This window comes from Homo sapiens, chromosome 3 (genome assembly GCF_000001405.40).
Source record: "Homo sapiens chromosome 3, GRCh38.p14 Primary Assembly".
In the NCBI taxonomy this organism is placed as follows: domain Eukaryota; kingdom Metazoa; phylum Chordata; class Mammalia; order Primates; family Hominidae; genus Homo; species Homo sapiens.
In genome coordinates, this window is record NC_000003.12 from 50,277,584 (window position 1) to 50,299,882 (window position 22,299).

General features: G+C 56.3%; 4 protein-coding genes across 14 annotated transcripts, besides 4 other annotated features; 1 reads left to right on the forward strand and 3 right to left on the reverse strand.

The window, feature by feature from the left end:
• On the forward strand, window positions 324–10,531 carry LSMEM2 (leucine rich single-pass membrane protein 2). 5 transcript variants are annotated; one of them, XM_011533370.4, is made up of 4 exons: window positions 324–720; window positions 8,888–9,001; window positions 9,091–9,279; window positions 9,486–10,531. In XM_011533370.4, exons 2-4 carry the CDS (start codon window positions 8,902–8,904, stop codon window positions 9,617–9,619), a joined length of 423 nt encoding a protein of 140 aa, XP_011531672.1. In that variant the 5' UTR covers window positions 324–720; window positions 8,888–8,901; the 3' UTR covers window positions 9,620–10,531. The 5 variants fall into 5 exon arrangements, with proteins under 5 accessions (XP_011531672.1, XP_006713042.1, XP_006713043.1 ...); XM_006712979.5 differs by lacking the exon at window positions 324–720 and adding an exon at window positions 727–1,347; XM_006712980.5 differs by lacking the exon at window positions 324–720 and adding an exon at window positions 727–1,347 and having other exon boundaries at window positions 9,094–9,279.
• On the reverse strand, window positions 10,149–14,846 carry IFRD2 (interferon related developmental regulator 2). Its single transcript, NM_006764.5, has 12 exons — window positions 14,634–14,846; window positions 12,977–13,096; window positions 12,805–12,889; window positions 12,587–12,711; window positions 12,346–12,503; window positions 12,129–12,179; window positions 11,864–12,045; window positions 11,672–11,777; window positions 11,217–11,354; window positions 11,000–11,128; window positions 10,826–10,921; window positions 10,149–10,688 (listed from the first exon to the last, which is right to left on the reverse strand). Exons 1-12 carry the CDS (start codon window positions 14,689–14,691, stop codon window positions 10,608–10,610), a joined length of 1,329 nt encoding a protein of 442 aa, NP_006755.5. The 5' UTR covers window positions 14,692–14,846; the 3' UTR covers window positions 10,149–10,607.
• Window positions 14,555–14,764: a silencer, noted in NCBI's record as "silent region_14390". NCBI's record gives its function as "represses an Ori minimal core promoter by ATAC-STARR-seq in GM12878 lymphoblastoid cells {active_cell/tissue: GM12878}" and the evidence as "EXISTENCE:reporter gene assay evidence [ECO:0000049][PMID:35858748]".
• Window positions 15,145–15,334: an enhancer, noted in NCBI's record as "active region_19898". NCBI's record gives its function as "activates an Ori minimal core promoter by ATAC-STARR-seq in GM12878 lymphoblastoid cells {active_cell/tissue: GM12878}" and the evidence as "EXISTENCE:reporter gene assay evidence [ECO:0000049][PMID:35858748]".
• On the reverse strand, window positions 15,249–21,822 carry HYAL3 (hyaluronidase 3). 5 transcript variants are annotated; one of them, NM_001200031.2, is made up of 4 exons: window positions 21,630–21,822; window positions 17,126–17,270; window positions 16,049–16,138; window positions 15,249–15,932 (listed from the first exon to the last, which is right to left on the reverse strand). In NM_001200031.2, coding segments are annotated over exons 1-4 (507 nt in total). In that variant the 5' UTR covers window positions 21,632–21,822; the 3' UTR covers window positions 15,249–15,662. The 5 variants fall into 5 exon arrangements, with proteins under 5 accessions (NP_001186960.1, NP_003540.2, NP_001186958.1 ...); NM_003549.4 differs by having other exon boundaries at window positions 17,126–18,036; NM_001200029.2 differs by lacking the exon at window positions 21,630–21,822 and adding an exon at window positions 21,238–21,277 and having other exon boundaries at window positions 17,126–18,036.
• Window positions 15,725–16,280: an enhancer, noted in NCBI's record as "H3K4me1 hESC enhancer chr3:50330739-50331294 (GRCh37/hg19 assembly coordinates)". NCBI's record gives its function as "activates a minimal SCP1, AML or CMV promoter by ChIP-STARR-seq in naive and primed H9 embryonic stem cells {active_cell/tissue: H9 hESC(naive and primed)}" and the evidence as "EXISTENCE:reporter gene assay evidence [ECO:0000049][PMID:30033119]".
• On the reverse strand, window positions 18,819–21,822 carry NAA80 (N-alpha-acetyltransferase 80, NatH catalytic subunit). 3 transcript variants are annotated; one of them, NM_012191.4, is made up of 2 exons: window positions 21,630–21,822; window positions 18,819–19,944 (listed from the first exon to the last, which is right to left on the reverse strand). In NM_012191.4, coding segments are annotated over exons 1-2 (927 nt in total). In that variant the 5' UTR covers window positions 21,632–21,822; the 3' UTR covers window positions 18,819–19,019. The 3 variants fall into 3 exon arrangements, with proteins under 3 accessions (NP_036323.2, NP_001186945.1, NP_001186947.1); NM_001200016.2 differs by having other exon boundaries at window positions 18,819–20,089; NM_001200018.2 differs by lacking the exon at window positions 21,630–21,822 and adding an exon at window positions 21,238–21,277.
• Window positions 21,416–21,555: an enhancer, noted in NCBI's record as "active region_19899". NCBI's record gives its function as "activates an Ori minimal core promoter by ATAC-STARR-seq in GM12878 lymphoblastoid cells {active_cell/tissue: GM12878}" and the evidence as "EXISTENCE:reporter gene assay evidence [ECO:0000049][PMID:35858748]".

Genomic DNA, 22,299 nt, shown 5'->3' on the forward strand with positions numbered 1-22,299 from the left:
CGTGACTGAACAGGTTCTGTAGGGCCTTTGGGAATAGTGACACGCAGGGTACATTGTGCATAATATAACTTCAGGACTAAGTGCTAGGAAGAAAATAAAACTGGACCGGGCGCAGTGGCTCACGCCTGTAATCCCAGCATTTTGGGAGGCCGAAGCAGTCGGATCATGAAGTCAGGAGTTCAAGACCAGCCTGACCAACATGGTGAAACCCTGTCTCTACTAAAAATACAAAACTTAGGTGGGTGTGATGGCACGCGCCTTTAATCCCAGCTACTCAGGAGGCTGAGGTAAGATAATTGCTTGAACCAGGGAGGCAGAGGTTGCAGTGAGCCGAGATCGCCCCACTGCACTCCAGCCTGGGCAACAGAGCGAGACTCTGTCTCAAAGAAAAGAAAACTGGGTGATGTGGAAAAGAATGTACACAGAAGGCCTCACTGAAGGGGTGGCATTTGAGTTCGCTGACAAGACGGGGCTGGCCACAGGGCTATCTGGGAGCAGAGCATTCCAGGAGGGAACAGCCACCACCAAGCCCCTGAGGTGGTAACAAGCTTGTTGACTTTGAGGAACATCAGGGAGGCCAGTGTGAGACAACGGAGTGACAGGTTTGAGGTGTGTAGGAAGTAGAGCCCACAGTCTTGCTTTGCCCCCACTGGGAAGGAAGGGCACAGGGATCCAACCACAGAGGGAAAGCTGGAAGCTGGACCACCTCCTCCTTTCAAGGTAAGCAGTGATGCGCATCCTTACACAACCTTATGGGACCTGTCTGCCCTTGTGGAGATGGGAGCAGGGGAAGACCAAAACCGTGGATTGTGCTAAATGCTCCAGATGTTGTTCTCAGTGTACACTGCCAGGGAGGAGCCACTGTTATTCCGACTTTACACATGAGCAAACTGAGTTCAGAGAGGGGAGACCCTTTACCTAAGGTTGCAAGCTTAGTAACAAATGAACCAGCCTCCAACCTAGGTCCACCCACTGGCCAGCATGGGTGCTGTTGGTGTATCTGCCCACTTGTGAAGCTATCAGAGCCCTCATGGCATTGGGATTCAGTTGTCCATCACCCTCTATAAGACACACACAACAATAGCATTGTGTGCTAGCAGGTCATGCAGTGGAGGCTGCTGTGTTTGCTGGGAGGAGAGATGACTGGGCTGTGGGTAGGAGTCTGCAGGGGTAGAGGGGTGGCCAAATAGAGATGCACAGGCTTCCTTTGTCTGTCTTGGCTGCCACATGGGGCCTTGCTGAGCCTGGAGTGGCCATTCTGGATGTATGGGGGAGGTGTGCTTCCCCTTGAAGGTCCCTGGGCACCTGGACTAGTGGAGGCAGGCTCCTGGCTGGCTCCCTCACCAGGTAGATAGTTCAGGCTGGCCCACGTGGATCACTCTGCCCCTTCCCATGGCTGAGGGCTGCCCCCTCTAAATATAGCCCAGTGGGCTGAGCTCAGGCCTATTTTAGGCCAAGGCTGGGAGGCAGCCAGGCCTTCCCTGGGCTCACAAAGGAGCCACTGCTGCATTTGTCCAGTCCTGCTACTGGATGCCATCATTGGCCCCCGACTGCCCACTGCTTGCCATGCCTGAGGAGACCCAAGAAGGTAGGAGAGGGTGACCATGAGGGAGGGCAAGGCCTCAGTCCTGTGACCTTGTGGACCATGGAGAGACCCACCCTCTGTCCCACTGACCTCACTGTCTTGAGTAGTTAGTTACCCATTTTCATGCTCCAGCTCCAGTAAAAGGACCTGCCCCCTGTGCAGGGAGGAAAAGCCTGCCATGCCTGGAGCCCCTTGTCACCTCAGGCCCTGCTTCAGTTTCCCCTGCTGGGGACATCAAGGAGGGATGGGAGAAGCTACCCAGTTAGGAGTGGGTCAACTACAGGCTGTGCTCAGGTGGGTGTGGGCATCCGGTCAGCTGCCTGGCCGGTTCAGCTCTTAAGGAAGGAAGCTGGGATTGGGGTGGGTAGTGGTTCCAGAAAGCATTTGGGTACCTGTCCCATGGACTGAAAAGTAGTTAGGCCTCTGGCCTCCCCTGACTTGGGTCTAAATATCCCCAACTGCCTAGGGTTGGGGGTCCCTTGGCCTGGTCAGACAGAGACTCAGCTAGTCAAGAGCTTGGTGGCCACTCACCTAACTGCACCACTGCATATAAGAAGTACTGATGCTCAGAGGGGCCAGGGCAGCAGGAATCTAGGAAGCTACAGGTCCAGTACTGGCCAGGACGTAGGACTGTCTGCTCCATGGCTCCATGTTATGGCCCATGACAGAGCATGGCCCAGCTAGCAAGCTCCTCTTATCACATTTTCAACTTTTTTTTTTTTTTTGAGATGGAATCTCGCTCTGTCACCCAGGCCGGAGTACAGTGGCGTGATCTCGGCTCACTGCAACCTCCGCCTCCCAGATTCAAGCAATTCTCTGCCTCAGCCTCCCAAGTAGCTGGGATTACAGGCGCCTGCCACCATGCCTAGCTAATTTTTGTATTTTTAGTAGAGACGGGGGTTCACCATCTTGGCCAGGCTGGTCTTGAACTCCTGACCTCGTAAGCCACCCACCTCAGCCTCCCAAAGTGTTGGGATTACAGGGGTGAGCCACCGCGCCTGGCCTCAACTTTTTTTTTTTTTGTCACCCAGGCTGGAGTGCAGTGGTGCGGTCTCGGCTCACTGCAACCTCTGCCTCCCAGATTCAAGCTATTCTCCTGTCTCAGGCTCCCAAGTAGCTGGGATTACAGGCATGTGCTACCATGCCCGGCTAATTTTTGTATTTTTAGTAGAGACAAGGTTTCACCGTGTTGGCCAGGCTGGTCTCAAACTCCTGACCTCAGGTGATCCACCCACCTTGGCCTCCCAAATTGTTGGGATTACAGGCGTGAGCCACTGCCAACATTTTCAACATTGCAGGAGAGGGGCCTTGCCCCTGGTAGGGGGAAATGTTTACTTTCATGCATGTGTGTGTGTAGAGAAGGGTCTCCCTGGTCTTGAACTCCTGGCCTCAACCAATCCAATCCTCCCACCTTGGCCTTTCTTTTCTTTTTTTTTTTTTTTTGAGATGGAGTCTCGCTCTGTCGCCCAGGCTGGAGTGCAGTGGCGCGATCTCAGCTCACTGCAAGCTCCGCCTTCCGGGTTCACGCCATTCTCCTGCCTCAGCCTCCTGAGTAGCTGGGACTACAGGAGCCCGCCACTACGCCTGGCTAATTTTTTGTATTTTTAGTAGAGATGGGGTTTCACTGTGTTAGCCGGCATGGTCTCGATCTTCTGACCTCGTGATCCACCCACTTCGGCCTCCCAAAGTGCTGGGATTACAGGTGTGAGCTACCGCGCCCGGCCAGCCACCTTGGCCTTTCAAAGTGCTGGGATTAGAGGCATAAGCCACTGTGCCTACCCTCTTTTGGGATCTTAACAATAACATTTACTGTGTGTTTTTCCTGTAATAAACAATTCACATTCAATTTAGAAAGTGTGAGAAAAGCACAACAAAGTACAAAGAGGGAAATTTTTTTTTTTTTTTGAGACAGAGTCTTGCTCTGTCGCCCAGGCTGGAGTGCAGTGGCACGATCTTGGCTCATTGCAAGCTCTGCCTCCCGGGTTCATGCCATTCTCCTGCCTCAGCCTCCCGAGTAGCTGGGACTACAGGCGCCAGCCACCATGCCCAGCTAATTTTTGTTTTGAATTTTTTAGTAGAGACGGGGTTTCACTGTGTTAGCCAGGATGGTCTCGATCTCCTGACCTCGTGACCTGCCCACCTCGGCCTTCCAAAGTGCTGGGATTACAGGCATGGGCCACTGCGCCCGGCCCTTTTTTTTTTTTTTTTTTCTGAGACGGAGTCTTGCTCTGTCGCCCCGGGTGGAGTGCAGTGGCACGATCTCTGCTCACTGCAACCTCTGCCTCCCAGGTTCAAGTGATTCTCCTGTCTCAGCCTCCCAAGTAGCTGGGACTACAGGCGCCTGCCACCATACCTGGCTAATTTTTAAATATTTTTGGTAGAGACGGGGTTTCACCATATTGGCCAGGCTGGTCTCAAACTCCTGACCTTGTGATCCACTTGCCTTGGCCTCCCAAAGTGCTGGGATTATAGGTGTGAGCCACTGCGCCCGGCAGCAGGGAATTTTTTTTTTTTTTTTTTTTTTTTTGGAGATAGGGTCTCACTCTGTTGCCCAGGCTGGAGTACAATGGCATGATCACAGCTCACTGCAGCCTTGACTTCCTGGACTCAAGCAACCCTCCCACCTCAGCCTCCTGAGAAGCTGGGACCACAGAAGCATGCCACCACACCAAACTAATCTTTAATTACTTTTTTGTTTTTTGAGACGAGGTCTAGCTCTGTCGCCCAGGCTGGAGTGCAGTGGCTTGAGCTTGGATCACTGCAAGCTCCGCCTCCTGGGTTCAAGCTATTCTCCTGCCTTCAGCCTCCTGAGTAGCTGGGACTACAGGCGCCCATCACCATGCCCGGCTAATTTTTTGTATTTTTAGTACAGATGGGGTTTCACCATGTTGACCAGGCTGATCTTGAACTCCTGACCTCGTGATCCGCCCACCTCAGCCTCCCAAAGTGCTGGGATTACAGGTGTGAGCCACCATGCCCGGCCCTAATCTTTGATTTTTTTGTAGAGATGGGGTCTCCCTACGTTGCCCTGGCTGGTTTCAAACTCTTAGACTCAAATGATCCTCCTGCCTTGGCCTCCCAAAGTGCTGGGATTACAGGCATGAGCCACAGTGCCCGGCCCAAAGAGAGAATTTAATATGACCTTCAACCCACCACCCAGACATAATGACTGGCAGCACTTGCTTGTTTTTGTTGTACTTGCTTTTGAGCACGTCAAGAGGCAGTTTCAAGTAAATCATGGAGGTTGAGTTACTGTCCTGAGAATGACAGTCCCAGAGTGCAAGGCCACCCTTGCTCCTATCTGGAGGTGTCCCCTCAATGCTCTTCCCTACTGTTATCAGCTTCCAGGTGGGTATCTGGAGCTCTTGGCATCTGGACCAGGATTTTTAGACATCAAGTTAAAGAACAACTAGAAGAAAATATAATTAAATATTGGCCAGGTACGGTGGCTCATGCCTGTAAACCCAGCACTTTGGGAGGACAAGATGGGCAGATGACTTGAGGTCAGGAGTTCAAGACCAGCGTGGCCAAAATGGTGAAACCCCAGCTGTACTAAAAATGCAAAAATTAGCTGGGCATGGTGGCACGTGCCTGTAATCCCAGCTACTGGGGAGACGAGGCAGGAAAATCACTTGAACCCAGGAGGCAGAAGTTGCAGTGAGCTGAGATCATGCCACTGTACTCCAGTCTGGGTGACACAGTAAGACTCTGTCTCAAAAAAAACAGACAAACAAAAGGCCAGGCATGGTGGCTCATGCCTGTAATCCCAGCACTTTGGGAGGCTGAGGTGAGCAGATCACGAGGTCAAGAGATCGAGACCATCCTGGCCAACATGGTGAAACCCCGTCTCTACTAAAAATACAAAAATTAGCCAGGCGTGGTGGCACGTGCCTGTAGTTCCAGCCACTCGGGAGGCTAAGGCAGGAGAATCGGTTGAACCTGGGAGGCGGAGGTTGCAGTGAGCTGAGATTGCGCCACTGCACTCCAGCATGGCAAGAGAGGGAGATTCTGTCTCAAAAACAAACAAACAAACGAAACACCGGCTGGGTGCGATGGCTCACGCCTATAATCCCAGCACTTTGGGAGGCTGAGGCGGGTGGATTACCTGAGGTCAGGAGTTCAAGACCAGCCTGGCCAAGAAGGTGAAACCCCATCTTTATCAAAAAATACAAAAATTGGCCGGGCGCGGTGGTTCACACCTGTAATCCCAGAACTTTGGGAGGCTGAGGCAGACGGATCACAAGGTTAGGAGATCGAGACTATCCTGGCTAACATGGTGAAACCCCATCTCTACTAAAAATACAAAAAATTAGCCGGGCATGGCAGCGGACGCCTGTAGTCCCAGCTACTTGGGAGGCTGAGGCAGGAGAATGGCACGAACCTGGGAGGCGGAGCTTGCAGTGAGCCGAGATCGTGCCACTGCACTCCAGCCTGGGCGGCAGAGCGAGACTCCATCTCAAAAAAAAAAAAAAAAAAAAAAATTTGCAGGGTGTGGTGGTGCACACCTGTAGTGCTAGCTACTAAGGAGGGTGAGGTAGGAGAAACCCTTGAACCCGGGAGGCGGAGGTTGCAGTGAGCCCAGATCGTGCCACTGCACTCCAGCCAGGGCAACAGAGACTCTGTCTCAAACAAACAAACAAAAAGCAAAAACTTCAATGAGTGTGAAAGTACATAATTAAAATCAAAAGAAAAGTACACAGACCCAAGTGACTAAATGGGCAGAGGCTTCAAATTGATAATTAAGAAGCCACACACAGCTGGGCATGGTGGCTTGCGCCTATAATCCCAGCACTTTGGGAGGCCAAGGCGGGTGGATCACTTGAGGTCAGGAGTTTGAGACCAGCCTGGCCAACATGGCAAAACCTGGTCTCTACTAAAAATACAAAAATTAGCCAGGCATGGTGGCAGGTGCCTGTAGTCCCAGCTACTTGGGAGGCTGAAGCACGAGAATTGCTTGAACCTGGGAGGTGGAGGTTGCAGTGAGCTGAGATCGCACCACTGCACTCCAGCCTGGGCAACACAGCAAGACTGTCTCAAAAAAAAAAAAAAAAAAAAAAGCGCCACACACGTATTAGTCACACTCCCTAGGCTAAGAAACCCAATAAAATAAGAAAGACCATTTCTCATCTCTCAAGTTAGCAAATATATGTGTGCACGTGTGCATGTAAATATAATTTTTTTCCTATGGGGATGCCTAATGGTGGCAATATTATACCCTGCGGGGGAGCTGTGGACAGTGCTTCTGGAGGACAGTTTGGTAATAGCTTTAAAAAAAATCAGGCCGGGCATGGTGGCTCACACCTGTAATCCCAGCATTTTGAGAGGCCAAGCAGGATGGATCTCTTGAGACCAGGAGCTCGAGACCAGCCTGGGCAACATAGTAAAACCCTGTCTCTACAAAAAATACAAAAAAAATTAACTGGGCATGGTAGTGCATGCCTGTAGTCCCAGCTACTGGGAAGGCTGATGCAGGAGGATCACCTGAGCCCAGGAGGTGGAGGCTGCGGTGAACTGTGATCACTCCACTGAACTCCAGCCTGGGTGAAAGAGTAAGAATCTGTCTCAAAAACAAAACAAAAATCTCAGGCCAGGCGCGATGGCTCACGCCTGTAATCCCAGCACTTTGGGAGTCTGAGGCGGGCGGATCACTTGAGGTCAGGAGTTTGAGACCAGCCTAGCCAGCATGGTGAAACCTGGTTTCTACTGAAAATACAAAAATTAGCAGGGCGTGGTGGCACACATCTGTAATCCCAGCTACTTGGGAGGCTGAAACAGGAGAATCACTTGAACCCAGGAGGTGGAGGTTGCAATGAGCCAAGATTGCGCCACTGCACTCCAGCCTGGGCAACAGAGCAAGACTCTGTCTCAAAAACAAAAAAACAGGCCGGGCACGGTGGCTCACGCCTGTAAATCCCAGCACTTTGGGAGGCCGAGGTGGGTGGATCACAAGGTCAGGGGTTCAAGACTAGCCTGGCCAAGATGGTGAAACCCCATCTCCACTAAAAATATAAAAAGTAGCTGGGTGTGGTGGAAGGCGCCTGTAATCCCAGCTACTCAGGAGGCTGAGGCAGAGAACTGATTGAACCCGGGAGGCAGAGGTTGCAGTGAGCCGAGATCTTGCCATTGCACTCCAGCCTGGGCGACAGAGGGAGACTCCATCTTAAAAAAACCAAACCAAAACAAAAAACGACCAAATGCAGTGGCTCATGCCTGTAAATGCCAGGACTTTGGAAGGCCGAGGCGGGCAGATCACTTGAGGTCAGGAGTTCCAGACCAGCCTGGCCAACATGGTGAATCCTCATCTCTACCAAAAATACAAAAATTAGCTGGGCGTGGTGGCACACGCCTGTAATCCCAGCTACTCAGGAGGCTGATGCAGGAGAATCGCTTGAACCCAGGAGGTGGAAGGTGCAGTGAGGCGAGATCACGACATAGCACTCCAGCCTGGGCAATACAGGGAGACTCCATCTCAAAAAACAAACAAACAAACAAAAATCCCTGCTCTTGGATCCAGTAATTCCACTTCTGGGAATTAAACTATCAGGAAATTGGGAAAAAACCTTCATATTCAACGGTGGATGTCCTGGGGGTTAATTTCAAAAGGGAACTGCAGCGGTGAGCCAAGATCGCGCCATTGCGCTCCAGCCTGGGCAACAAGAGCGAAACTCCGTCTCAAAAAAAAAAGGGGGGCGGGGACTGCAAACAACCTAGATGCCCAGGCAGCCTCAGGGAGATGTGTGAAGGGAGAGACCTCAGAGGCATGTGCAACAGTATAACAAAGAAGGGTCTCCCCAACAGTAAATGTTGAATGAAAACAGCAGGGTTCACACATGTACAGCAGAGTCACACTGAGTATGTTAACAAACACAGAACCAAGGCCAGGAGGGAAAGGCACCAGAGTGGCTACAATAGGGCTTTCTGACCAGAAGATGCCAGGCATTGGGTCTGCAGGGAGAACTGACAAAAGAGGCAGGACTGAATTCCATTTGCTGCAGGTTTAGCATTCAAGGCTGATAAACTGCTAGAAATAAGCAGGCAGAGGAATGCCTGAGTGAGTCCCTGGGGTGCTTGGAAGGAAACAAATCAAATGTACCTGTTGCTCCTGTATACAGAATAAGCCTGTAAGGGTCTGGGATCATCCTGGATCCAAATCAAGGGTAATTCCTGAGTCAGTTTTAGGGGATTTGGAACCAAATGTCCCACTATCCCTATCATCCGCAAGTCCTTGCTGCCTGAAGCCACCTGGTAGAAGGAAGGGGGTTGACCCACCACTGGCTAAATCAGCCTGCGCTGCCCCTGCAGACTCCGTGGCGCCAATGATGCCCAGCCAGAGGAGCAGGGGGCCATTGGCCCCCAACCACGTGCATGAGGTATGCCTGCACCAGGTGGAGTCCATCAGCGACCTACATAGTGGAGGTGAGTGGGGACAGTGGGGTGGATGATGTGCTGGGGGAGGGGACGAAAGCAGGTGCACCCACCACCCTCCCAATGTCCCATCCACCCAGCAGGCACACTGCGCCCCTATCTAACTGAAGAGGCACGACCGTGGGATGAGCTGCTGGGCGTTTTGCCGCCGTCACTGTGTGCCCAGGCTGGCTGCAGCCCTGTGTACAGACGAGGAGGGTTCCTGCTGCTGCTCGCGCTGCTGGTGCTCACTTGCCTAGTGCTCGCACTCCTGGCTGTCTACCTGAGCGGTATGGACGCATAGGGTGCTAGTAGGAATGGAAAGCAAGGCAGTGGGGACTGGGAGGCCCTTCTGTGCAGCTGGAAGGAGTAACTGCAGATGCTGCAGCAGTGAAGGATGGGGCGGGAGGCCCGTGGCTGCCCCTGGTCCTGGGCTGGGTCTGCAGGGGTCACGGGGTGGCACATGGTCTGATGATCCCCCACTTCCCATTCACAGTGCTGCAGAGTGAATCCCTGCGCATCCTGGCACACACGCTCCGCACGCAGGAGGAGACACTACTCAAACTCCGCTTGGCCAGCCTCAGCCAGCTTCGGAGGCTCAACTCCAGTGAGGCCCAAGCACCCAGCTGAGATGCCATTTGGATCTGGGGCCTGGGGGTGTGTGTTGGTGGGGGAATAAAGTGGCTATGGGCAGGTCTCTCCTTCCCTACTGCTGGCTGCCACATCTACACTATTTCCTTGGTGAGATTTTTGTACAAGAACCTGTTGTTAACTTAATGGCTGCCTCCCTCTCCTGATCTCTTCAAGCCAGGCCTAGCCAAGCCTCTGGTGCCAAAGCCTCGCTTTGGGTGGCCCAAGGTCAGGGGAAGGGGCACCAGCCTCCTGGCTCCTCCTGTGGCCTGTCAACACTCTCTGGCCACCCCAGATGGCAGGTTCTGAAGTCTAGAAATAGCTGCCCCCATAGCAATCACCCAAACTCTGCCAGGGCTCCCAGTGAGGGTCCAGCCTCAGCTCTTAAAGACAGGCTGGGCTCTGAGTAGGGGGAGAGGCACCACCTGGGGAAGACTGCCTTGGAGGGCAAAGGTGACATCGTGGAAGACCAGTTGGGCCCAAGCCTGGGATAGTAGATGGGGAGGGAGAACAGAAAAATACCCAGGGGTTAAGACCACAGAAGGCTGACCGTTCTGTTTAATTATCTGTAATAATCCTTAAAAATCAGCACACAAATCCATTCCAGGTAGCTTTGCCACCCCACCTGCTGTGGTGGCATTTGTCCAGATGCCACCACCCCCCTAAGAGTGGGTCATCCTGGGGGAGCAAGGCCTGAGAAAGGAAAGGAAGGGAAAGGCCCCCTAGTGCCTGCCCCACAGCCCTGAGGAAGGCACATATTTAGCCTGGCCTGAGACAGGACAGGAAGGGGCCACAGGGCTGAGTGCAGGGACAAAGGGGTCAGGGTCCCAAGTGTCCGGGCCCCCAGCTACCCACCCCATGTCTGTTTTTGGTTTTGTCATTAAAAAAAATAAAGTGACAAATACTGGTGGAGACCAGTTGTTGCACTGTCTTCTGTTAAAAATACGGACCAAGGGCATAGAAAGTCTCCTCTTCAGCAGGTCCTGCTTCACAGGATGTCTGCCCGCTTGTCCCGCACACGGCTTCGAGCCTTGGTCCGGGCTTTGAAGGCAGCAGCATTGTACAGGTGCTAGAGTGGGGACAGAGAGTGACACCCTGGGGAGCTGGGAAGGGAAAGGGCTGGGGGTCCTCTTCCGGCCTCTACAGAATTCCAGGCCTCCAGGAAATGGGAATAGGGGGAAGAGAAAGGTGCCCAAGGGTGCAAACCTTCTCAAAGCGTGGAACCTTGCAGGCCTTCAGGGCAGTGGCATCCAGCAACAGCACAGGGCCCAGGCCAAAGATGTCACGGAGTAGCTCATTGTTCTGGGGGGCAGAGGGCAGTGAGCTCAGGCCAGACTGAAGCAACCACACCAGATGTCCCCTCCCTGTCCGTCCCCGCACCTGGAGGTGGTGGTGCATGCCCGAACCCAGCACTTCCTTGAAGGCAGCGTAGATCCGGTGCCGAGCCCAGCTGTCCATGTAGAGCACCTCAAAGCCGAAGCGCACTATCTCTTCTTCGCATTCACCGCCCTGCAGGGTAGAGGTGCCAACACAACTGGGCTTGGCTGCTATGCCTGGGGGTGCACCCTTGCTAGGACACATATGTTCTCACACACACCTCCACGGAGTGCAGCACGGCGCGGAAAGTAGAGCGCTGGCGCCGACGATCAGCCTTGGCACGGTACTTGTTACTGTCAGTGGCCAGAGTGCGCAGGACACTGCAGAGGGCCTCCATGTCCTCGTAAACAAACTCCTCCTGCAATGGGAGCATTGGAGGGTGTGTGGTAGATGCTTGAGCTCTGCTGGCTCTGAACAGGGCACTGCCCAAACCCCTCCTTTCACTGAGAGACCCTCTCTTCTCTGCCTGGCCCCTTTGACCCCTCCTTGGCCTCTGTCAGGCCAGGACACCACTGCTGAGGGCACCCATCATGACATCTAGGAGATAAATCTGTTTTGGGGCCACCTCCTCTGCATAATGACCTAAAGCTGTTCTGTTTTGTGTGGCACCCCCTGCATCCAGCCTGTGATGGGCAGGTGGTGTCACCAAGCACCCCCCATCCTTGTCCCTCGCACCTCAAGGTCCCGGGCAAGCTCAAAGAGCAGTGCAATGGTTTCACCGGCAGCGATCCGCAGGTTCACACTTTCACTGGACAAGAGCTGGGGCAGCCGGGGCAGCTGCCTAGGGAAGGGGCAGGCTGAGCTATATGTGTGGCTTGGGGGCCTCTTTGAGATCCCCTCCCCCTCCCAGTGGACAGCCACCCCTACCTGTCAAGGATGTGGCTGATTTGGGTGCTAGGGCAGATGGTGAGCAGCAATGCCCAGGCCTGCAGGGCAGCAGAGAGCAGGCCGTGCAGGCTGGCAGGAACCACAGGACTTGTGGAGCTGCCCCCCAAGCCATAGAACCGGCTGAAAACACTTTCTAAGCAGGCAAGGCAAGAGACCAGGTCCTAGGAGCACAGAGAGGCAGGGGAGCTCAGAGGCAGAGTTACAGCCCTAGATGCTCTACCACCTGTGCCCAAAGACCCCTCACCTGGATGTCAGCGGCAGCCACGTAGCAGCCCAGGCCAAGGGCAGAAGCACACTGTTGGGAGAAGGGCAATGCAATGCCACGGTCAGCGGGTGAACCTGGGTTCCCAGCCCTGGAGCTCACTCCCCTCAGAGTAAAGGAGGCTGAAGATAGGGGGAACCCACCACTCTGCTGAGGGATAAGGTGCAGGAAGGGTTTCATGGGGCACAGGCACACTCACGTGGAGCCGGGCAGCAGGGCTAGCTGTGCTGTCACTGAGCACAGAGACCAGCAGAGGCTGCAGGCTGTGAAACAGCTCCTCACCCTTAGGTCCAGGGCCCAGCTGCACGCAGAGCAGGCCTAGCACAGCAGCAGCCAGGGCTTGTTCCTCGCCCTTCCCTGTGGGATGCTTTCCAGTCAGCCCATGCAGCAAGGGCCAGTGTCTGCCCAGTTTAAGTCTCCCACACACCCCCAGGTCCAACCTTTCTTGAGGCACTTTTCCAGGGCATCGGCTAGCGTGAGGCGGCGCTCCAGCAAGAAGTCGGGGAGTAGGCGGGACGCTAGGGCCAGGCGCAGGCTCTCAAGAGCACCCTGCCGGGTCTTGGCACTGGGGGAGGTCGAGAAGGGGGGTCATATGGGCCAGCCCTCCCTTGATCACACTTGGAGCTGGGTGTAGGAGTTGGCTGGCAGCCAGGGGTACCTCTTGTCTGTGAGACAGTCCACATACTCCTTCAGCTTTTCCTCAAGGTCTTCCTGCTGGCCCTGCTCATCCACGACATCCCCCCCTGCAAGGCCACCTGGTCAGCACCGCTTCTTGTCCTCAGCCCATGGAGCCCTCACCAAGCCCCTGTCAAACTTCCACCCGCTCTCACCAAGGCTGTCCTCTGCAGTGGTGCTGAGAAGGCTGGGGCATTCACTGGCGGTGCTGCGGGCCTCACTGGCTGCCTCATCGTCACTGGAACCCGAGTCAGCTTGGGCACTGCTCCGGGCACCTGGAGAAGGTGGAATAGGACACTCAACTTGCCTCTACTGATGAGGGATGGCTGGGGGTACCTCACTCGACCTCATAATCCCAAAAGATAGAATGGTGTCCCTCTCAGAGATGAAAAACCAAAGCCAAGGGTCAGTTCAGTAGGGCTGGTGCACTCCTGTGTGTGGGGTCTGTCCAGGGCCAAGGGCTGACATTGGCAAGGTTGGCTGCTGTGGCAGAGTTTTGGACAGGGTGTGATCACCAGGCTGGCCCTACTTCTAAGAACTACTCACACCCCTCATCTGCAGGACAAAGTCCAGCCTGCGCACTGGCCTCTGCTCCCCGCCACCTTTTTTTTTTTTTTTTTTTTTTGAGACAGAGTTTTGCTCTTGTTGCCCAGGCTGGAGTGCAATGACGCCATCTCGGCTCACTGCGACCTCTGCCTCCCGGGTTCCAGTGATTCTCCTGCCTCAGCCTCCCGAGTAGCTGGGATTACAGGCATACGACACCACACCCAGCTAATTTTGTATTTTTAGTAGATAGGGTTTCTCCATGTTGGTCAGGCTGGTCTCGAACTCCTGGCCTCAGGTGATCTGCCTGCCTTGGCCTCCCAAAGTGCTGGGATTACAGGTGTGAGCCACCACGCCCAGCCTGCTCCCATTTTATCTTACTATTCTACCTGCCGGAGCAGCCCAGCCTTCCCTCATTCACTCCACTGCGCTGGGGTCCCTCCAGCTGCCAGGTCTTTGTACAACTTGCTCTCTTCTCCATCCTCTCAGGACTCACCCAGAAGCACTTCCCCCCAGGCCTCCCTGAGTCCTAAGTCTGGGGCTGACACCACTCAGTGAACATGTTCCACACCCTATTAGATGTCCCCCACCCAAAACCCACCATGGTGGTGACCAGTTTAAAGTTGTGCCTAGGTATTTTCCTCCTTCCTGTGCCCGGCCCTCCTCCCTTCCCCCTCAAGAATAAAAATAAATAAATTTGTGCGTGGTAGGCACCCCATCCCAGCAGAGTAAACATATGTGTTTAACGCATTAAGATAGGCTCCTGGTCTAAGCTGATAAGCGAGTCCCAAGACTGCCTCAGGCTCCAGGATACTCAGCTACCTTGTGGAGTCAGGCCTGCCAAGCTGCCAAGGCCCTAACCAGGTAGCTTCCCAACAGAGCCCCCTCCCTCTCTTCACCGGAGCAGGCCAGGACTCCCGCCAACTTCCTTGACCAGTCCAGGAAAGGATCAGGGTTTGGCAAGAGGACTGGCTTCCTGCCCTGTCCGGTGAGTTTGTCCACCCAGCAGGCAACTGAGGCCCGGAGGGGCTGGCCGGGTCACCGCTGGGAGCGCGGACTCCCAACAGGCAGTGGGCAGCGAGCTCAAGTTGGGCACGCACGTGGCCAATGACTGCTGGGGCACGTGCCAGCCTCGGTAGAGTTATGGGAAGCTGCGTGGGGCTGGCCGAGGGGGTTCCCCACCCAGGGCCCTCGAGAACAACCAAGGGGATCCAGCAGGACCCCCGCCCGCCGCTCATACAGCTGTCCCGCGCCCCCCACCCCACTCACCTCCTCCACGGCGCTGACCACCCTTCCGGAGCGTGTTGCCCTTACGGGCGCGAGGCATGCCGGGAACCGGGCGCGGGGGGCGCGGGGTCAGGGACCCGGTGGGTGTGGGCTCCAGGCCAACGAGACGCCGGCCGGTGCGCTGCGCTGAGACTTGGCCAGACGACGGGAGCCACACGCCACGCGCGCCACCATCTTCGCGAGGCGCCCCGCCCTGCCAAACAGGTCGCCGGGAAGGCGAGTTCCAGGCCATCCGATTCAGGCCCACATCCACGAGGCTAAAACTACTAATCCCAGAGGCCTGAGCGCGCAGGCGACGGCGGCTAGCTGCGCGTAGAGCACCATGGGAATGGTAGTCCACGCCTGGGGCCCACCAGCCGACGACGCGCTGGCTGAACTATGCACCCACAATGCCCTGCGCGCGCCCCAGCCCCGCGTCGGGAACAAGTGCACGGTGGTTAACTCCGAAGCGTCCCTCAGTGGAGCACCAAGGCAGGACTGGCTTCTCAGGGCACTTGGCAGCGGGACACTCCAGACGAGACCTACCCCTGCCTGGGTCTGGGGACCATGGGAAGGGCTTAGAGCTTGGGATAACAGGAGCAACAGCCAAACCTCAGGCAGTGGAAAAAAGTGACTTTATGATGAAAGAGTGCAGACAACAGCTTAGCACTTTACCGACCTTCGCCAAGATTTTTTGGGGCCCATCTGCCCGTGCACGGCCCATCTGTGACCTCTCCATGGGCTTAGTGAGGTGTAGGCACAAAGCCCTAGGCTGGCAGCCCTAACTAGCTGGAACCTGACTCTCCCTGGAACTGCTTCCTTGCCATGGAGGACTCACATGATCTCAGAGGGCCTCTGGTTTTATAAGCGTTTTTTCTGGCCCCTTCTACCCCTCAGGGATTCCAAGGGAAGCGGGGTGTGTGCTTGGGAGGGTTGACTGTAAACTGAATAGAGCAAGAGTGGGACAGAGTAGTTCCAGGACTGGAAAAGTGGCAGCAGGGAAAAGAAGAGGCAGTGGCAGGGGCCCTGGCTTTATACTGCTTCTTTAGGCCCAGGCCTGGGCTCCTGGCAGGTGGGGCCAGCCCAGCCCCAGTAACAGTGGCAGCTGAAGGACTTCCAATCTCCAAGGCTGCCGTCTGGCCACAGGTGTAGAAAGGCTTCCATCTGTCCTGGATCTCGCCGGGCACAGCGCCCGTGGCCATGGCACCGCTGGTGACTGCAGGCCATCGCTGCCCTGGTCACATTGATCACATAGGGGCCCAAGGTGTCCACCAGGTAGTCATGGAGATGCCAGCACTCCTCCTGAGGAGAAGGGAAGATATGTGTCAATATGCCTGCTCTATAATCTTGACATGGCCGTCCCCCACCCTGGGACCCCAGCATGTGCTACATGGCAGGCTCAAAGGGGCAATGATCACCTCAGAGCTGGAGAGGCTCAGGTCCCCCCAGAGCACCACGCCGGCTGCCCCTAGTGCTGCACTCACACCAATGGACTGCACAAGGTCATCCTGGAGGCAGAGAGCTGCTAAGCCAGTGCTGGGCTGGCCAGATCCATGTGGGCACACATCCACATTCAAGAAACTCTTCTGGTTCACTGTCACAATCTGATTCTAACTCTACAGTAGGGACTCTCTAGTTTGGTTTGGTTTTAGAGGCGGGGTTTTACTCTGTCATCCAGGCTGGAGTGCAGTGGCATGATCATAGCTCACTGCAGCCTTGAACTCCTGGGATCAAGTAATCCTCCCACCTCAGCCTCCCAAGCAGCTGGGACTACAGGTGCATAACACCTGGCTAATAATTTTTTAGGCTGGGCACAGTGGCTCACACCTGTAATCCCACACTTTGGGAGGCAAAAGCGGGAGAATCACTTGAGCCCAGGAGTTCAATACCAGCCTGGGCAACATGACAAAACCCCATCTCTACAAAAATATAAAAATTAGCTGGGTGTGGTGGTATGCATCTGTAGTCCAGCTATTCGGGAGGAGGCTTAGGTGGGAGGATCACTAGAACCAGGAAGTGAAGGCCGCAGTGAGCTGAGATGGTGCCACTGCACTCCAGCCTGGGCAACAGAGCAAGACTCTGTCTCAAATGTTTTTTTGGTAGAGGTTGGGGTCTCACTATGTTGCCCAGGCTGGTCTCGAACTCTTGGCCTCAAGGAATCCTTCCATCTCAGGCTCCCAAAGTACTGGGATTATAGGTGTGAGACACTCACCCAGCCCAAGTAGGGCCCCTTTGTATCGAGTCTCTGAGTGGCTTCTCAGGCCTTCCACTCAGAATATCTCCCCTCAGGCCAGCACTCCAAAGGCTGGGCCTCCCTACCCCTCAACATCTTCCAGGGCAAAGCCATGCCTCCCTCATCAGATGCTCCAGGACAGGGCCTTCCGCTGAGAACGCCTAGATTAGGACCAACCCCTAGGCAAGGTCTTCTCCTGGGACCTTCCTAGAACAGGGCCATACCTCCTGACTCAGACCCCTAGACCTCAGCTTCCACTTACCTGGGACAGGAACCTCCCAGATCTCCGGTGTGTGAGGCGGACATAGGCCAGGACAGGCAGGGGATGTCGGTGCCCAACAAGGGCCACACGGAAGGCCTCCTCCAGGCGATGTCGGACAAAGGCCTGGTGGTGGGCAGGTGGCAGCCTGGGTGGGAGGTAGATGCTGGGGAAGAGGGCACTGGAGGCGGCCCAGAGCCAATGCAGTTGAGTGTTGCGGGCAAGGGTGGCTGCATGGCAGCGGCCGGTATAGTTGGAAGCCATACTATGCCAGCCATTGCCACAGGCTGGGTAGTGATAGAAGCCCCAGAGTCCATGGGGCCGTAGTGCCTGGGCCACCCGCAGCGTATCCTCCATCAGTGCACGGGCCGCCTGCTCAAAGCCAGTATAGGCCTTGTAGAGCTGCTCCTGAGGGTCCAGGTCAGGGAATACCTGCTGTGCCCAAGCCCAAGAGGCTGCCTGATAAGCTCGGCGGCGGCCCCAGTTCCCAGCCCAGAGTGGACACCACTCCTCCCAATCCAGCACTGCTGGGCCAGCAAAGCCAGGTCTCAGGCTGTGGTGGATCTGGTAGGCAGCCAGTGCCAGGTGGCGGTCAAGGGGCAAAGCCTGGGGGATGCCCCCATTGTGAGCTGTGCCCCTGGGTCCAAAGTAGGGATAGAGGCCGAGTTGGTTCTTGTAGAAAATGGTCATGTTCTGACCGTGAAAATGCTGGCCACGGTTGGCTATGATGCCCAGAGCATTGAGTGGCAGGTGCACACCAAAGCGGGCCTCACAGTGTGCTGAGGGTACATTCCACAGCACAGAGAAGGGGCGTTCAGGGACCTGTGGTAGGGGCTGGCCACAACCCAGGCACAGGGCCACCCCCAGCACCAGGGCTGGGCCCAGTTGCGTGGTCATTCCCCAAGGATGGAAACCTGCAGGAGAGAGGGGGGTGTAAGCTTAGAGTCCGCAGCTATGGCCACACCTTCCACATGGCAGGGAAAGCCAGGAAAGCTCCCCCAGCTCCTCCCCATCCTTACAGGAGGAGCTGGGGAAAGCATGTTTCCCCAGGGGTCTCTTGGGCCTTTTAAAGCAGCCACACCGCAAGCTGGCTATGATGCCCCGGGCATCGAGTGGCAGGTGCACACCAAAGCGGGCTTTACAGTGAGCTGAGGGTACATTCCCTCCCATGTTCCGTCTTTGTCAATACACCACTGTGTCCTCCCACAACTGTCACAAGTCCCCTTCTTTCCTCTGCCCACCTTGTTCCCTCTTCCAAGAACAGTCAGCTCCCACCTCCTCACCTGCCTGGTTTAATTCCTACCTAGCACTCAGGTCTCTGCTGTGACATCACTGCCCTGGGAGGTCTCCTGGATCCCCAGGTGGAGTGAAGTCACTTGGGTTCCCAAAGCCTCTGTACCTCCCCTGTGCCACATGGATCCTGCTACTGTATGCCTGTTTGTCTAGTTACCCATTGCCTATGTCCCGTCCAGGGCTTGACACACAGTAGGTGCTCAGTGAATGGTAATGAGTGAATGGGGAAGAAAACAGCCACCCTGTCTCCTGAGCCAGGTGGGGGGTAAAGGCAAAGGACAGGCATCCTCCCATCAATGGCCTCAGGGCCAAGGTGGATCTGGAGACTTCTGCAGGGATAAGGGACCTGCAGAAGAGGTGAGAGGTGAGGGTAGGGGGATCAACAAATAAACTGTCACAGCCATACCCAAGAGAGCCTTTATTCAGCCACACTGACGGCTCTGAGCCAGAGCCACCTCCTGGCCCCACTGGTACCCAGGAAACATGCCCAGGTTAAAGCTGCCCCCCAGGGGCTAGGGGCTGAGGTATGGTCAGTGGGCTGAGGCTTGTAGACTGTCGGGGCAGTCTATTGAACCAGAAAGACAGTTCCTTGCCCTGGATGGCCTCAGATGTCTTTTTCCATCCAGAATATGGGGCGCCCCCTCACATTTTGATATTGTGTCTCCAGCAGGCTTTTTGAAGGGGGCCCTGATGGAACTGGGGGTGAGATGGTCAGGCACTCAGGTAGGGGAGGGGGTGGTGGCAATGGAGGTCCCTTGGGACCCCTTGGGGCAGCTTGGGCAGTCAGGTTTGGGGCCTTCCTGGGTGGCCGGGGAGAGGGGGCTGTGGGGAAGGCATTAAGCAGGGTGGCAGGCAGCCGTCTGCTGGTGAAGACCAGGCCCTGCACAGGCTCACCCAGCTGGTAGCCCAGGTGGGTATAGAAGTGCACCTGGTCATGGGTGGTGAGATGCAGCTTGCGGAAGCCCCGGGCCCGAGCAAAGACCTCCAGGCCCTCCATGAGGCGGCGGCCAAAGCCACGGCCCCTCAGGGCCCGGGCCACCACCACTGTCTCCACTAAGAGGCTCTGGGGCTGGTTCAGCACCCGTGACAGGCGGGCATGGCCCACCACAACGGGTGCTGCTTCAAGTGTGGGGTGGGGGCTTAGCAGCATCAGGCAGAGGGGGAAGGCATCTGAGGACTGGCCCAGGGAGTGCAGGCGGGAGGTGCGGCTGCGGGGCCACTGATCATTGATGAGGTCAGCACAAGCATCCAGGAGCTCGGGTCGGCGGTGCACAGGCTCCAGGGTCAACTCAGCCAGGCTAGGAGCTGGGGTCTCCTCTGGCTGGTGTTCAGGATCCAGGGTAAGCTCAGTTGGACCAGGATTGAAGGTCATCTCTGGTTGGCATGTGGAATCCAGGGGCAGCTTTGGCTGGCACGCAGGATCCAGAGTCAGCTCAGCTGGGCTGGTACTCAGGATCAGCTCCATCCGGTGTGTAGGGTCTAGTGTAGGGGTCAGCTTGGCTGGGCCAGGGCTCAGAGTCAGCTCTTGCCTATGCACAGGATCCAGGTTCAGCTGAGTCAGGCTGGGAGCCAAGGTCACCTGCTGCTAGGTTGCAGGTGGCTCAGTGCCAGGCTGGAGGTTAAGACCCCAGTCTCCAGGCAGTAGCATCTCTTCAGACCACAGTGGCTCTCCTCCTGTAGATAACAGCCATGCTGGGCTGTGCCAGGAGGGAGGGTGGGGTTGGAGCAGGGAAGGGCTGACAGAGTGCAGGGGGGACCATGCATACTGGAACTGGGGAGTGGTGGGCTGCACTTTGTCCCACACTCACCTGATAGCACAGGTGACCTGGAAGAGACCCATCCCCTATAGAGCAGGGCAGATAGATCCAGGTGTCTACCCCACATTGGAGGGAGGCTGGGAGTGATGGATGAGCTGCTTAAGGCTGGGGCAGAACCTAGGAGTCCTGGCCCCAGCCTGCTCTGGCTACAAATTTGTCCTCCTCAGGACCTCCCCTCACAGGGGGTCTGTAACCACCAGGTCTATAAAACAGCCGACCCAATCTACTTGCTGGCCTTCTGTCTTCCAGTAGTCCTCCTAGTCCACCACTAGGGCATGGGATAGAAGATGCAAAGCAGACACTATACCCCCTGCTCAAACCTACCCAAGGTTCCCTCCATAGGAAAAACTGCCCGGGAGTCTTCCTGTCCCTTTCTTCTCCCTATGTTCCGAGTCTCCTCCAGCTCCCAGCCTTTTCAACTACCTGGGCTATGCCCACTGCCTTAGTGGATCCTGGGGCCCCACTCATGCACCCATCAGGCTGAGCTTTGGCCTGTCTTGACTGCCTTCCCCACCTGGAGCCCATGGCCCCCTTCCCAACTCTGCCCATCTCAGGACACTTTGGATATAGACCCAACTGTCTCCTCAGATGGGGCCCCAGCAGCACCAGCACTGGGCCTGGCCCACAGTCACACAGCAGTATTGCCTCTGCAGGCTTGGTTCCCCACTGGCTTGAGTTTCGCAGGCACCCTAGATAAGGACCACAGCTTCCTTCCTATATCCACAGGGTGTCCAACGGTCACCAGGTTGGGGGCCCAGACCTCCTGTGCCCAAACCCTACTGTTTTCCCATCTTAACCAAGGTCCTGCCGTCCGGCAGGTCTATGCTGGGGGTTTTCTAGTCGTGGGCGGGCAGCTGAGCCCCCTCCTTCTACTCACCTGCTCCAGAGGGGGCCTCCTGGCTCCCCTTACCTCTCCTGAGCTTGAGGCCAATTAAACACTGGTCAGTAACAGGCACCCCCCTCCCCTCACCTCCCACACCATTCACAGGGCTGTAAGCCCCTCACCTGCATCAGCCACCTCTGCAGCAGCCGCACCCTTTGGTCTAGAGGGAGGAAGCCCCAGGATCCGCCCCTAGGGCTGAGCCCGGGGCTTCCCCGCGGCCTTAACCCCTTCAGTGCCGACCCCACCCACTGTGGGCGGGGCTCCGGGGTCCTCAGAGAGTGGCTTCTCCGTCTCTCCCGGGCCTCGGTTTCCCCCTCCCTCCTAGTGGGTCACAGGCTGTGGAGCTTTTGGGAATGAGGACTTCGAGAGCTCGACTCTGTGGGCAGGTGTGGCTCGGCATGGTCTGGAAACGAACGACTGACGCGGGGAGGGCGTGCAGGGTGGCATGGCCACTTGGGGACCGCACGCGCGGGGTGGACCTACAGGCAGCAAATGGGAAGGGTGCGGTACTGACATGTTGATGCTGGCCTCTGGGATGTTCCGCGTCCTAGCTCCGCACAGCTGGGTATCTCACTCAGTCGCCACCTCGGACTCCTCGGTCCGACAACGTTGGCCCCCAGCGGTGCGGCGGATGTTCTGCAGCCGTCGCGTCCTGCGGCACGCCACGGCGTTCTAAGGCCTCCCAGCACCCGCGCGTCGCCGCTTAGAACCCGCCCCTGGTTTGCGCGTCACAACACCCGCCAGGCGCCGACTCAGTCTCTACCCTGGCTCCGCCCCTGCTGAGCCCCACCCCATCTCCATTTGAGTCCGCCTCCTCCCCACCCGGCCCCATACAGGCCCCTCCTCCTTCTCCTTGCGTCACAGCTTAGGTCCCGCCTCGATTTGGCTTCTTCCAGGCCCTGCCCCAGCCCAGCACGTCACTTCAGCCAGGCGCAGGCCCCGCCTCCAGCTGGCTCTGCCTCCGCCAGCCCCGCCCCAGGCTCTGACAAGTCTAGCTTCGGTTCCCGCCGGCCTCCTGCCCCAGGACAGCTTGGAAACGGTCCGATCAGGTGGGGCTTCCTCTTGAAATTTGGGCCCCACCCTGGGAAGCAGCCGCCCTTAGACTGACGTCAGATCTGGTGAGAGTGACAAGCCTTTCCTGTGCCCTTTGGATACCGGGGCCTGGACATTTTAGGCGCTCAGTA